This window comes from Homo sapiens, chromosome 12, assembly GCF_000001405.40.
Source record: "Homo sapiens chromosome 12, GRCh38.p14 Primary Assembly".
In the NCBI taxonomy this organism is placed as follows: Eukaryota; Metazoa; Chordata; class Mammalia; order Primates; family Hominidae; genus Homo; species Homo sapiens.
Window position 1 is genome coordinate 75,580,124 of NC_000012.12, and position 16,193 is coordinate 75,596,316.

General features: G+C 38.4%; 1 long non-coding RNA gene across 4 annotated transcripts in view; it reads right to left on the reverse strand.

Moving 5' to 3' along the window:
• The window catches only part of LOC105369844 (uncharacterized), a 310,508-nt gene that overhangs the window by 55,863 nt on the left and 238,452 nt on the right, over positions 1–16,193 (reverse strand). Inside the window, exon 8 of one of the 4 annotated variants that reach the window (XR_007063377.1) lies at positions 4,209–4,530. The exons of the other annotated variants lie outside the window; for them this stretch is intronic. This is a non-coding gene — a long non-coding RNA (uncharacterized LOC105369844). Of the gene's footprint in view, positions 1–4,208; positions 4,531–16,193 lie in introns of those variants that run through there. 4 annotated transcript variants of the gene reach the window in all.

Consider the following 16,193-nt stretch of genomic DNA (forward strand, 5'->3'; position numbering starts at 1 on the left):
GGACATCCTCATCCACTGCATTTTATTCTCTCATCATAGAGGAGAGAATGCTGAGAACCATCCTCAATGGCATCGCCTTCACAAGTCTTTCCTGACCCCTATCCTGATCAAACTGAATCCCATCTTTCAACTTCTAAATGCTTAATTCTCACCTATGTTCCTGTCTTACTTTATCCTATACTGTCGTCAAGCTAGCTGTGCCTTACTCCATCACACTGCCTTCTCCCTCAAGTCGTGGGTTGCTGAAAGCAGTAATAATCTTTGCAACTCCCTCAAAGGTCTAGTAGAGTGTGTTATAGCTAGCACAGGCAGTACACACTGGACAAATTAATGAATGAACTGAAAAAGCATAATATCATAATGATTCTGTCCTGGAAGAAATAAAAACCAAAAATGCTACTGAACAAATCAGATAATTATAGAAATTTGAACTGGGCGTGGTGGCTCACATCTGTAATCTCAACACTTTGGGAGGCTGAGGTGGGCAGATCACTTGAGGTCAGGAATTTGAGACCAACCTGGCCAATATTGGAAAACCCCGTGTCTACTAAAAATACAAAAATTATCCGGGTATGGTGGCTTATGCCTATAATCCCAGCTGTCTGGGTTGCTGAGGCACAAGGATCACTTGAACCCATGAGGCGGAAGTTGCAGTGAGCTGAGATGGTGCCACTGCACTCCAGCCTGGGCAACAGAGTGAGACTCTGTCTGGAAAAAAAAAAAAAAAGAAAGAAAAGAAAAGAAAAAGAAAAAAAAAAAGAAATTTGAGCCATAGCCACCATTATGAATTTTAGTCACCATGGAAAGTGACTCCAGAAAATAAATGTAATATACAATTTAAACATAATAGCAACATATGGTATGTTTAATATGTAAATACAGAAGCCTATATAGAAGAAGAGGCCATGTTACAGAATGATCAGGAGTGTAGACTATAGAGATTGTACTTGATGCCTGGCTTTCATCATGACTCCGATACTTTGTATGAGCTAGGGGAAGTTATGTGACTTTCTATCTCAAATTTATCATTTGTAACATGGAAGTATCTAGTTCTTAGAGTTACTATGTGAAAAAAATGAATGTCTGGCACATGTTGAGTATCTGGCACATATTAAGTGCTTAAGAGATGGCACATATTAAGTGCCATTATTTTATATTCAGTACTAAAATATTTTAGTATGCTTGTTCTTTAGCCCACAAAATGGTAGTAATAATGAAAGTTTTCTCCTAGAACCACTGTGAGATTTTTCAGTGCTTATGGCTATTGAATACATTCTGGTTATATTATTGGATTCATACAAAAATATCTTAACTTAAAAATAGCTAAAAAGCGCTGAGGCATTTTAAAGGTGACCTGGATTCTTGCTCGTCTCAAGCCACTTTATTTTTCCAGGTTGAGAATCATGTAGTATTGGCTTTTTAAAAAACTAGCAAAATATATATTTATCTTCTAACTAATGGATGTACAGCAGACAGAAAGTTAATGAGTATTGTCTTAGTCTATTTGGGCTGCTATAATAAAAAATGTCATAGACCAGATGGCTTAAACAACAGACACTTATTTTTCACAGTTCAGGAGGCTGGAAAGTTCAAGATCGAGGCACGGGCAGACTGGGTGTCTGGTAAGGGCCTGCTTCCTGGTTTGTAGACACAGCTGTCTTCTTGCTGTGTCTTCACATGGTGGAATGGGTGAAGAAGCTCTTTGAAGTCTCTTTTATAATGACACTGATGCCATTCAATGAGGCTCCCCACCGTGAACTCCCAAAGGCCTCACCCACAAATGCCATTAGGTTGGGGATTAAGTTGCAACATATAAATTTGGGGGAAACACAAGCATTCAGTTTATAGCAAGTATGAATACTTTCTGAAAGTTTCTGAAAGAAAATTCTACCATATTCTTACTTCAGCAACACTTTCACTTTTGAGCCAACCAAACCATTTTCCAAAATCTGTCATGTAATGTTAATTCTGTGAGGTTGAAGTTAGTGATTAGGGCATCAGCTTTGTGATCAGACAGAAAGGAGGTCACATCCTGGCTCCACCACTTTCTAGGCACATGAAATTGAACATGTTACTTCACCTTTCTAACCTCAGCTTTTCCATCTATGATACAAGAATAATAACAGCTTCCTTACTCACAGGTTATCGTAAGGATTAAGAAAGATCACATAGATGGCATGATTGTGTGGCAGAGAATAAACGATCAATACACGGTATAGCTATTATTATTTCTGATGAAATACACTTGCCATTATGTCTGCAAAATGGTCAATTTTAAGTCCATTTCAGAATACTGCATTTCATAAAGAAGTTCCAGGTTTTCACAATACCAACTGATTGAACAATCAGAGGAAATTTTTTGTGAAAGGCAAAATTTTGCTTGAGCAGTAAGTAGTCTTTTTCACAAGATTTTACATATACTGGAATAGTAATATTATCACAATGAGTCTCAATATCATCTCTCTTGTTGATGAAAGACTGACAGTTCACATAATTGTTGCCTTAAATATGGACTTATACGTTCAGAGTAACAGGGAAAAGAATGTGCTATTCTGTCAAGGATATGAGGGTGTTCTTGAAGCAAGTGTATCTTCAACATCTTGTCCAGCTGAAGGAATATAAACTTTGACAGCATCTCCAGCTGACAGCATCTAGAATTGAAGGGGCTGCTTCAGGGTTGGCACAGGTATTTACATCACCCTCTTCTGCACCCCAGCCCCTCGCCTCTTTTTTGGCTTCTCACTCCACTGATAACTGCAGGATCAAGCCTGGGAAAGCACATGAAAAATTCACCAACGCAGAACAATGCAATCATACAACAAGGTGACATTTTAGGTAACTTAAACTATAAGAAGTGCCTCCCGAGAAACAGGAAATTATATCCAAAGTAGTTTGAGGGAAAAAATAGTTTCAGGCTGGAGTGCAGTATCGTAATCTCAGCTCACTGCAACCTCTGCCTCCTAGATTCAAGAGATTCTCCTGTCTCAGCCTCCCCAGTAGCTGAGATTACAGGAAAAAATAGTTTTATAAGATTTTTTTTGGAGGTAGCTTCATGATTTAACATCATAAAGTGCCATGGTAAAAAAAAAAAATTGCAGATTTAGTAATGAGCAGAGAAACAGCCTCTTGAGTGATGCTCTAATTCACGACATGCCACTGACAATTCACTGAGCTGTGTATGCATATCTTTTCATTTCTGCACCGAAGTTATGCTCAGGAGTCTAAAAGCTGTTTTAAAATGCCAGGCTTCGAGGTGCTGTTCTCCTAAGACATGGCAGACCTATAATTTCTTCACATATTTACATAAATGGCTCCTGTGAATGGGGGAAGTCTTTATGTGGCTAACATTATAAACTTCTATTATGAAACAACTCATTACCCATTATCAGCCCCTGTCACCCAGTCTATGTATAGAGAAGGAGAGGAGAGAGAAATGTCATTAAACAAAAATGAAATTGCTGAAAAAAATGGAGCAGGAGACATTTGCCTAACTCTATAAATCAAAGGTAGTGGAGTATAACTTTATCTCATTCATATTAGGTCATTAAGCCAGAAAAAGCTGAGGAGCGGTAAGAACCTTGGTACTTAAAATGCTATAACCATTTAGTGCTCTCTCTCTCTCTCTCTCGGAGCAGGCTTTGTGATTTCTCTCCCTCCCTCCCTCCATCTTTCTCTGTCTTCCTCTGTCCCTCATGTGAAAACTCTGTTATTCAAAGGACAAAAGGAAATCTGTTTGAGAAGAAAAATTATTTTTCTTTCTAATCCATTATTCTTTTACAGTTGCAAAAGCTATCATATGATCCTTGTATTACACAGTAGCAATGAGTAGTAATAAGCACTCTAACAGAGCCTGGGCAACATGGCGAAACTCTGTCTCTACCAAAAACACAAAAATTAGCTGGGTACGGTGGCACGTGCCCGTGGTCCGAGCTATGTGGGAGACTGAAGTGGGAGGACAGCTTGAGCCCGGGAGGTAGAGGCTGCAGTGAGCTGTGATTGTGCCACTGCACTCCAGCCTGGGCAACAGAGTGAGATCCTGTCTCAAACAAAACAAAATACAACAAAACCAACACTCTAATAGATATCTCATCAAGCAGTTTCTTTGATTATAAGTATCTTCTAGACTGGATAATTAGATTTTCTTTATTGAGAAGCTATTTCTATCCATCGCTGTACATCAAGGTGTATAAAAATGAATTGATTTGAACTGTGTTTGTAAACTGAGTTTATTTTAGGATTCTGAGAAATTAGATTTGAGAGGACGGCTTGCAGAACTCTTTCATCGAAGGACAAGGAATCTTGGAAAAAAGCACATTGTAAGAGGAGAGGCTGGGTCCATAAGGTGACCTCTAGGAAAATGGGCTAGAGCACCAGGGTGGAAATGATTTTCAGACAAGACGGTACTTGATTCTCAGGTTATCATTTTCCCAGCACCCATGGACTCACTTCCTGAGAGCAGCCTCCTCGAGTCCACAACTTAAACGGTGCTTTCTCTATTATTCTTCCACATAGCATCTGCAGTCTTCCTTCCTAGTAAAATACACATTTGTTGGTGTGTTTACAAGCTAATGGTTGTTTCTTCTACTTGACTATAGGCTCTGTTAAGTTCAGCCTAACGCTGTCTCCTTACATATTTTAGGTTCAACCTAAGGGTTTCTTTGTATGCCATGAACTATAACAAGTGGAGGTGTATACAGACTGTAGCCTGCACTTGTGCCAATCACTGAGCTTTGGCCAATCAAACGTAGCCAACTGTTCAAACCGTGTTCAAATAAGGCAAATGCCAAGCTGTAACCAATCCAGCTATTTCTGTACCTCAATTCTGTTCTCTATATGCCACTTTCCATTTTTTGTCCATAAATCTTCTTCCACACATGGCTGCGCTGGAGTCCCTGAGCCTACTCTGGCTGGGAAGGCCATCCAATTCGCGAATCGTTCATTGCTCAATTAAATCCCTTTCAATTTAATTCAGCTGAAGTTTTTATTTTATCAGTTCCAAGAGGCCAGGCACCATGTCTGTCTTGCTGTCTACTTTTTTCCTAATACCTCATTCATTTATCTGTTGACCAAATGAGCAGATGAATGCGTAAGTTCTAGGGAAAGGGAAGCTTCAATAAAAAGAATAAAGGACAAAAAATCAGGTACACTAAGAGCGAAAAAACAACTCTGTTAGTTTCAATGACATTAATAAAAGTAGGACATGGCACTTAGTGCAGATATATATACACTAGCCCCCACTGATTTCAGTTTAGCTTTTGGTGCTTTCTATTATTCATGGTCAAAACAGTCTAAAAATAATAAATGGAAAAATTCCAAAAATAAGCAACTCATAAATTTTAAACTGTGTGCTATTCTCCATCTTGCTTGGGATGTGAATCATCTTTTTTTCCAGCGTTTTCATGCTATACATGCCACCAGCCTATGAGTCACTTAGTAGCCATCTCAGTTATTAGATCAACCATTGTACTATCACACTGCTCGTGTTCAAGCAACCCTTATTTTATCTAATAATGGCCCCAAAGTGCAAGAGTTGTGATGCTAGCAATTCAGATATGCCAACGAGAAGCTGTAAAGCGCTTCCTTTAAGTGGAAAGGTGAAAGTTCTCAACTTAAGGAAAGAAACAAAATCAAATGCAGAGGTTGCTAAGATCTACAATAAGAACAAATCTTCTATCCAGGAAATTGTAAAGAAGGAAAAAGAAATTTGTACTAGTTTTGCTGATGTACCTCAAACTGCAAAAATTTATCACAGTGTATGATGAGTGCTTAGTTAAGATGCAAAAGGCATTAAATTTGTAGGTGGAAGCCATGAACACAAATGTGTTCCAATGGATGGCAGTTGGGTTCTGTCCTATCCAAGGTTTCAGGCATCCACTGGGGGGTCTTGGAATGTATCCTCTGCAGATAAGGGGTGACCACTATATCTTGGGCACTAAGCATCAGGAACATTTTCCCAGACATCAGATGCCACCACCAGCAGCAAAGATCCTGTTGCTGGAAAAGGGAAGGGGAGGAAGATATAGCCACACTTGGGCTGTTAATAGGAATAGGATAAAGCAATGAAGGAGACAGAGGAAAATAGCAGAGAAGATTGTTTTTAGAGTTCATATGAGATGTCCCAGGAAACTCTCAGAATCATTTGAAAAATTTTTGAGAAAAGCTAAAATTTAACACTTATAAATTTATTTTGAGATTTTACAATCAGCCTTAAAAACATTAACTAACTTATTGCTAAGAGAGAAAGGCAGCTTATAGATGAGCACATATACATTAATGCCTCCATGTGTATGTTCATGTTGGAAAGGACGTAAGTTTTTTTTCTTGTTTCCTTGAAAGAAAGGCTTCAGGACAGAAATTCCTTACAAATACTTATAGTATTAATAGTTATTTTTGAGAAGTGAGATTATAAGTGATTTTAAGATACATGTATATCTTTGTTTGTCTGTATTTTCTATTTTCCCTTCATTGCACAAGAAATCCTTGTAAACATTTCAAGAGTTTTAAAGATGTGCTTTCTTTTGAAAACTGATAAGAAAGGAAAAACAAATCATGCTTACTTCAGTGGGTTTACTTGAGGAATGGAGAAGAAAAAGTAGAAGACCACAGAATCACTTATAAAAGCAGGGATGTGATGGCCAAGCAAGACAACACCACAGCATAGTTCCTGCTTGCTGTGTTCTTTCCTGCAGGTGAGCAGTTCCACTCTAAGCTCGTCTATGAGATGTGAGGCCAGTCTAGATTTGGGTTTTTGGCTCTTGGTGTGGTCTCTGCTCCACTGCACAGAGACAATAAATAGAAATATCAACAATTCAGTGTGGAGCCATTGCCCCCATTTTTGCATTTTCTCTTTCCCTATAAGACCTTTCTATCATTGACTCCATTGAGGGCAATTTTGAGAGATATTGGGATCCCTGGCTTAGAACCTTTGACAGTGTGCCCTGATAGACTCTCTTTGGTCAGAATTTTTTTGCGAGTTTCATAGAATCGTCTCATTTATATGCACTTAAACACCTAAAAACATTCAAGAGAAAAATAATAATAATAATTTAAAAACCACACCAAAACACCTCAAATATTGTTGCATGTCGCCATTCACCCTCGTCCTGATACTATTTTGTCAGATTTGTCTGCCTTGGTTGCTGCCTTCCTCTCTCATGTCTCCTATTTAGGCAGAAAAAAAAGGGTTTCTGGGGAAATAAAAGTAAATATGGTAAATGGAAAATGGAATTGGATAATGAATGATAATATGTAGCCTTCTAACTAGGTCAGGTGAGAACGGTTCCTTTAAAACACCATCTTCCCCTGGGCAATGTGGGACCTGCAGGCACCTCTTTGCCTTTGCTTACAGCAGCCCTTCTGCCAGTAATGTGCTTCTGCAGTTGGCCTGGTTGCTCTTTCTCATCTATCCAAAGAGTGATAGACATCTGCCAGCTTTTGATTATGCCCTGAGGAATCTGTTGCAACAAACGAGTAACAATTTGAAGGACTGAAAAGTAAAGGCAATGACCTAACAGTTCTCAGGACAGGAAAAGCTGAAGGTTAATGGCTTTCTCCCATTACCGCTTCTAATTTTTGCTTTCTATTCAGTTATATTAGTCTTAGTGTCATAATTAAACAACAACAGCCACCATAACAAACAAGGTTTGCCAACCCCCAGAACAAAGAGTAAGCCTTTCTTGAGTACCCATTCTTTACTATGCTTGGCTCTGGACTAGAGATGAATGATTTCAGATCTTTGATGGCAAGGCTTTGGGCCTTTTAAAATACAAACTGATGAGTCACAGAAACAAATGAAGTTGGCTTTACTGAAAGTAGTTTTTACTTCAGATGCTCTGTTTCTCACCATGCCCCATGGCCTTCTTCTGAATATTTCCTCTGCCTACAAAGTGGCTTAACATCCCTATGCATGACAGTGTGTCATCTGTTGATAACTTATATAATAATGTCCCCCCCGGTAATAGTTGAAAACTAAAAAGCAAACAACAAAAACTATCAGTTACTGTGGAGAAGATGGGGAAAATTAAAAATGTATTCAGAGAATGGTGAGGCGTATATAGACCACATCTGTAATAGTCCGTTTTCACGCTGCTGATAAAGACACACCTGAGACTGGGTAATTTATAACAAAAAGAGGTTTCATTGACTCCCAGTTCCACATGGCTGTGGAGGCCTCACAATCATGGTGAAAGACAAAGGAAGAGCAATGGGACATCTTACATGGTGGCTGGCAAAGAGAGAGAATGAGAGCCAAGCGAAAAGGGAAACCCCTTATAAAATCATCAGATCTTGTGAGACTTATTCACTACCACGAGAACAGTATGGAGGAAACCGCCACCATGATTCAATTATGTCTCACCAGGTACCTCCCACAACACATGGGAATTATGGGAGCTACAATTCAAGATGAGATTTGAGTGGGGACACAGCCAAGCCATATTAACACACTCAGAGGGATTCTGGGGTAACTTTAAGTAGACTGAATAAACCCTTCCTCTCCCTAGCCCACTCAAAATAATCCCAGGCAGAAATAAGCATTCCAATTTTGTTAATTCCATAGTACTTCGGTCTTGTGCCAGAAACATGACTGTAAATAATAATACTTGGTGTTAGAGTTAGATGTGCTCTTCCTAATGACTTCAGGCCCAGTGCAAGCTCCTCCACTAGGAAATTTCTCATTCATCTTGCTATTCACAACTCCTTGACTAGTTTCTGGTACTTACTAAGCTTTAATAAACAATCATGAATGATAGTGAGGAAAAAAAAAAGTAACTTTTACTGTCACATTGTTAACTAATGTTAGAATTAAGACTAGAACTACATCCATGATCCTTCCACACATAATCTCACAGATACGTGTCATCTCCTGAAAGTGCAACTTTCATCATGTCATTTTCCACTTTAATGTCAAACAAACAAAACCTAAATGGCTCCCCCATCACCCAGAGAACTCTGAACTCCCATCAAATCTGCTCAACCCCAGTCTCCTCCAGCTTCCTCCCACTTCATTAACCAAAAATTCAGGAGTCTTTCTTAATTCCTCTCTTTCCCTTGTAACCTTCATGAACAAGTCCTATCAGATCTGCCTTCAAGATATATCCAAAATCTGTCTCTTTGCTCCACTTCCTATCTTCCTTGTCCAAGGTACCAGCACCTCTCATTTAGCTATGAAAATATCCTTCTTGTTAATTACCAAAAACTAGTCTCCCTGCTTCTAGCCTTGCCCATCTCAAATCTATTTTTCACATACAGCAGTAGAATGAACTTTAAAAAAAAAATCTGTCGATCATATCCTATCACGTCCCTGATTAAAACCTTCCATTGCATTTAGGGAAACACACAAACTCATTACCATGGCCTAAGAGACCTTCCATAAACTGATCCACTGCCTACCTCACTTGACCTCATCATTCCAACTGTCCTTCCCCCTTGATCATCATTCTTTAGTCATACAACCACTTCCCACTTTACAGCCTGTTCCCTCTCCCTGGAAATCCTTATGGATGCTTGCTTCTTGTCATCAGAGTCTCAGCCTAAATGTCACTCACTTACAGACGTCTTCCCTGACCACGTAGGAGCCCCATCAATCCTGTGATCTCAATCACTGTCCAGTGTTTTTCCTTCATAGCTCTTACCAAAACCTAATATTTTCTTGTTGATTTTTCTCTCCACCCCTTTGTCTTGTTTAACGCTGAGTTTTCATTGCTTCAAACAGCTCCTGACACATAATGAATCTTTAATAAGTATTCACTGAATGAAAAAAAATGAATGAGGTCCAAATAACTTGACTGGCCATTCAGAGCCTTCTGTTAAGATACCAAATTATTTTTCTGGCTACTACTCCCCTTTCACAACCATGTGTTTCCAGCCACATTTCACAGTTTGTTTCCTCTACACTCAGTACTTCTGAGAACTGCTCAATGACTGAAGGGCAAACCCAGCTAAAAATGTGAAGTAGGTCACATTGGCCTTTAAGTTCTCTATTTAAATCTCTCTTCACTCTCCATGCCCACCGTAAGATGTCATCTTTTTTGGGGACTTTGTAAATTTAATTATTCCCTAGATGCTCAAGACTATAAACAACACAGATAGCCAGGTCATTGACACACAATTTTATTTACATTTCACTTAGGTTGGGCAAGTGCCTCATAATGATCTGGAGATTTGGTATCAGAGGTTTCTGCCCAGGAAAAAAAAATTAATAAAATTTCACTTTTCTAATTAAGCAAATTATGTTATTTTCACTATCTGACATGCCTTAGGGATGGACATTTTTAAAGGAGAAGGCTGTCTTACTTACTCTCTATGCCAGCCCCACGTTTCTAGACCAATTTGCTGTTTGGATGTTAGTCTTACTGGCATCTCAATAAGGATGTCTCTGTACAGAGTAGCTAGACAAGACATGGTTCCCCATTCATGTTAATGTGGTTCACCAGCCAGGTGGGACAGAACTGCACAGTTAAGCTGAATATTTCTCTTTTATCAACACATAATTCAGATCAGTATTATCTTTCCGATATTCATAAAATATAAGACAATTGGGTAACTTTATCAAAAAGACAAACATCTTTAGTGTCAAAATTATCATTTAATTCATCACCTTTGTTTCTCTGCATAATCTTTCCGACTATATAAATAGGTACCATATTTAGGTATCATATCTAGAACCTAGTATCTGGCACATTACAGTGCATAGACACTTAAGAAAAAGATTTGTTGAATAAATAATTTCCTTTGAAAATATTTTGAGAAAAGAAATTGATACTAAGGTTGTCATTCTAAAAAGCAGATCTACTTAGCAGCTCAATAATCTAAAGCATTTACTTCTGAAATGCTGAATGTGTACATACAGCCTTCAAATAAACAGCGTGCTCTCCTATTGAAAATTCATTTGTCGTGTTCTGATTTGGGCTAATTCTGAGAAATCTGGTGAATCACTACTCTTGGTAAGACAGAAAATATAGCAGCTCTTCTCACTGTAAAATCTTACTTCAAATTTAGTCAAGCAGTGTCTCTATACTTACATATGAGAATAAACTCTCAAAAAATCCAAATCCAAACCTGGGTGATTTATTTGTTAATTTAGTCAAGCAGTGTCTCTATACTTACATATATGAATAAACTCTCAAAAACCCAAATCCAAATCTGGGTGTTAAATATTTGTTCCCTTGGAAAAAATGCTCCCTATACTTAAGGTAAGAGCACATCTTGATAATTTATCATTTATCATAAGTTTTCTCCCTTTCAGCCCGGATACCACCTCTCCAAATGTGGTAAAATCAATTGCATATTGTTTCAATTTCAGGGCACTGCTGAAGTCGAGGGGATTTATTGCATCCCGAGTAGCTCATCTGTCTATGAATGCAGCAGACTTAGTACCGAGTCAGTAAAAAAGAAAATTTGATAATTTTTAAAAATGTACCTACTTGGGAAAAAAAGAAAAAACATTTTAGGTTGATAAGTGTTATATAATTGATTGCCAACTGTAAAATGTAATGGTGATAATTGTCAAGGTTCCAATATTGTGTACATAGCTTTCTACACATTTTTATTTTATGTCCAGAGCCTTCATTGAGACCATCTGGCAACACTCACTTCCTTTGCCTTTTTTCCATCAGTAATAAATTGTGCTGCTTCTCGTTTCCTCAGCCATGTACCCCTTAATGAAGTAATTGAAGCTCTCAGGGCTTAACTTGATGCTGCTTTTAGATTACATTTGTGTTTTCACAGTTGCCTTCAGTGATGCAACCTCAAAGATTAACTAGAAGTGGGAATTCCCAGCCCTATAATGATATCATTTGGTGGGAGGGTAGGGGGATGTTTCCTGGAGCCTCTCAAATCCCCAAGATAGATAAATGGAGTTAGAAGAGGTTTTGTTTTTGAAACTGTACATGTGTGAAAAAGCCAGGAGGGAAAGGGAAAAGTAGAATTCTATGGAGTTTAGACACCATCCAAAACAGCTTTAACCCTGATGATCTAACTGAATTTAATAAAATAAGGATGGGGGATACAAACTAAACTTTTCTGAGTCACTGAAGGTAATTTCAAGAAAAGAAAATCCCTGAATATGTCTTTCGACACACGCACACCTTTTAGCACAGACTGCCTAAAAGATTTCGGAGGCCAATGGCACCAGATGGTGGTAAGATGTAAGAGCTTTCCAATATAGCTATTAGGAAAGCAGTTAAAAGTTGAAGTCAGGTTGGCCTTCTGGTTAACAGATGTACAGTTCAAATGACTGTTATGCTGTTAAAAATAAGAAGAACAGAAAAGAAAAAGAAGAAAACAATGGGTAGTTACTCAATGGTAAATTCAACAGATTTTCTTGCGAATCCATTGAAGTCATAAAATAGTCACGAGATAACACAAAGTGAATTTCAGAATTTAAAAAGAAAGGAGCTGAACTGAGCTTCATGGCAGGGCAGGATCAGTCTCTCACTCCCACCACATCTAAATACCATTAAGGATACACCTTTAACAAATTCTCACACGTTTTCCAAAATACATACAGGTTTTCTTCATGTTTCTCACTGAACTAATATTATCAGTCACATTCCAAATTCATACTGATATAGACAGTTGGGTAACTGATCCAGTGAAATGTTTTTGGCACAAAAGGAAATACAGAAAAAGCCAATGGAAATTGCCCTTGACTTGCTTAAAGATTGGCAGGAAAGATACGATGTGTTAATAAGTACCTGTGTGTAGGTAGAGCTAGCTGCCACACATGCTTGGGTAACTTGTGCAGTGCACAACCTGCATGGCCATCTGAGACAGCCTCTAAGTAAACCAATAAACAACAGGAGTTCAAAGGAGAAAGAAGTTTCTTCCGTCTGAAATAGTCTGAAATATCAGGAATGGTTTCCTGGAAGAAGTGATATGTAGGTTGTGCATTCAGAGGATTTATACACACAAGGGTTGGAATGATGGTAGAAGGAACTCAACTGGAGGAAACAGGCTGTGTCTGACACCTAGAGTCCAGGATCAGTGAACTGATCTTGGTTCCGTGTGTTTGATGTGGTCAGCATGTGCTGCTCTAGCCTGACCTCTTCATGGGATTCCTTTTTACACCTGCTGACTCCCTTGCATGATCCCTCCTGCTTACAGCTAACTCACCAGAAGATCTCAGCTTAGGCTTCCCTGCCTATCACCCACCTTCCATTCCAGCCTGGGGTAAGCACCACTCCTGTATCTTCCCATGGCACTCTGGACTGATCTGTCATATCAATTATCACGTGTTTTGAACAGTTTCATTATCTGGATCCTTCACAAAATTTTTAGCACCCCAAGGGCAAAGACTGTTTTACCTTATTCACAACGATTTCTCCAGCAATGGACATAGTGCATGATACCCAGTATATGCTCAGAAAACAATTTTTATATTACTTACATAAAGATATTTAATTGCATCAAATTAAAATATGTTTGTGAGAAAGGGACCAGTGTCATATACTAGGTTGTCTGTACAGTTCAACTTCTTTCAAAAGTTCCTTGATAGTACCTTGATATTAATAGAAGAGAATTAAATTTATAGATGATAAGATATTCCTTTAATTTTTAAAACTCTCCCTTTAGAAATTGTGGACTATTGTCCAACTAAATAAATAGTCCATCCTCATCCCCCACCCACTAATCTCCACATGGCAAGAATATAAAAACACAGGAGTTTCAGCGATTCTGAAAATGTAAAGAGTATATAAAAGGCTAAGAAGTTGGGGCTTCATCCACTGCCCCATTTATCCAAAATATATTCACTTTATGCTAGGGCTGTTTGAGGCATTGGGGATACAGTTGGAGAAAAGATTGGGTACAGGACTGGGGAATTTAAACACATAAACAATAATCAAATAGATCTGGGAGGGTCAGTGCTATTGAGAAAATAAAATGGGATTTGTGAGAGATAGGAACGTGAGAGACCACTTCAGGTGGTTAGAGAGGGCACCTCTGAAGAAGGGGCATTTGAGCTGAGACAAGGATGACAGAAAGAAAGAGGACTTGAGAAGAATTTGGGGAAGAATGCGCGGGGTTGGGGAAAGGGCATAACATAACATTTTAAAAGACAAAGTTCAAATATTTTACTTTAAGGAAATGTAAATCCACTGAATGCCAGATAAGTATTATCTAGGCATCTGTCATTTCCCTCTCCATTGCCTTTCTCCTCCTCACCCCAGGATCACTCGCTTGAAAACAACATCTCATGGTCAGAGCGGCAATCCCCTGAAATGGGGGAGGTGAGATGTTCACATTTTATTTCAAATTCCGTTCCCCATGTATAACTCAGAGGAGTTATCCGATCTTCCCCTTCCAGTCCTGAAGCAATCAGCCCTCTTGCTTGCAAGCCACTGAAACTGATCCTAGCTAATTTAAGATGAAAATAAGTTATTGGAAAAATAGGAGAATTTTATTGATGTGATAAAAATGCTGGAGCATCAACCTTCAAAAACTGAACGGAAATGGGGGCCTACCCAGCAGAGAACAAGGACAAGGCCCTGACAGGAATATCTGCTTAGGACACAAAGCTGGGCCCTACTCCTATGTGATACACACCACTGACACTGCTATCATGGCTGTTGGTTGCTGGAGCACTGGATTCTCAACTCACCTTATTGCCACTGCTTCCAAGGATAATAGGTAGGTTTTTTAATCTTCTCCCCACTCCTTTCCTCCACCTTCAAGTAGGGCACTATTCACAATAGCAAAGGCACAGAATCAACCTAAATGCCCATCAGTGATAGACTGGATAAAGAAAATGTGGTACATATATACCACGAAACACTGTGCAGCCATAAAAAAGAACAAGATCATGTCTTTTGGGGGAACATGGATGGAGGTGGAGGCCATTAGCTTTAGCAAACTAATGCAGAAACAGAAAACCAAATACCACATGTTCTCATGTGCAAGTGGGAGCTAAATGATGAGAATTCATGTAAACAAAGAAAGGAACAACAGACATTGGGGCATATTTGAGAGTGGAGAATGAGAGAAAGGAGACTAGCAGACAAACTATGGAGTACTAGGCTTAGTACCTGGATGATGAAGTAATATGTACAACAAACGTCTGTGACATGAGTTTACCTACATAAGAAACCTGTACATGTACCCCCAAACCTAAAATAAAAGTTAAAAAAATGTTTAAACAACAACACAAAAGAAAAGTGTCTGTTCATGTCTTTTGCTCACTTTTTAATGGAGTTGTTTTTTGTTTGTTGATTTGTTTAAGTTCCTTATAGATTCTGGATATTAGACCTTTGTTGGAGGTATAGTTTGCAAATATATTCTCCCAATCTGTAGGTTGTCTATTTATTCTGTTGATAGTTTCTTTTGCTGTGCAGAAGCTCTTTAGTTTAATTAGGTCCCATTTGTCAATTTTTGTTTTTGTTGCAATTGCTTTTGTTGTTTTTGTCAAAAAATCTTTGCAGGGCCTATGTTCAGAATGGTATTTCCCAGGTCATCTTTCAGAGTTTTTACAGGTTTAGGTTTTACATTTAGGTCTTTAATCTATCTTGAGTTGATTTTTGTATATGATGTAAGGAAGGGGTCCAGTTTCAATACCTTAGTTTTCTCATTTCGAAAACAGGCACGCTGGTATCCATCCAATAGTGATATTGTCAGCATTAAATTAGGTAATATAGAATATGACAGTAGCTGTTATTTATGTTGTTGTTTCATTTCTATTTTGAGCCCTTAGTGTACAAGTTATTCTACATAAGCAAAGCAGCTACTTATGTCCTTATTCTAATTTTTGCTATTTCTATCATGGGTTTCCGTCCTCTCTCTTTCTGACATTTCATCATTTTTTGTTGTTATTGTCTTATCTGTCTCCTACTGAATTTTCTTTAATGAATCTCAATCTCCAAACTGACATGTTGCCCTTTTGTGAATATCAGTGGCCAATCTGAGAATTTCTTTCAGTTTATGAAACAAAAGAATGTTTTAGGCATAATCGTCAGGACTTTGGTTCTTCTCTGCTATATTCTTCTAACTGATGGCTTTGTTCTGTTGTTGAAAGAAAACAGATGTTGTACTCTTGGTCTTCTTTTCTATTTCTTTGTCCAGAATCACCCTGAAAATCTGGTGGTTATGGAAGGTTATTCTCAAGAAAAGAGATTTTCAACCTCAACGCCATTGACATTTTGGGCAAGGTAATTCTTTGTTGTTGGGGCTTCTTTTGTGCATTGAAAGATGTCTAGCAGCAT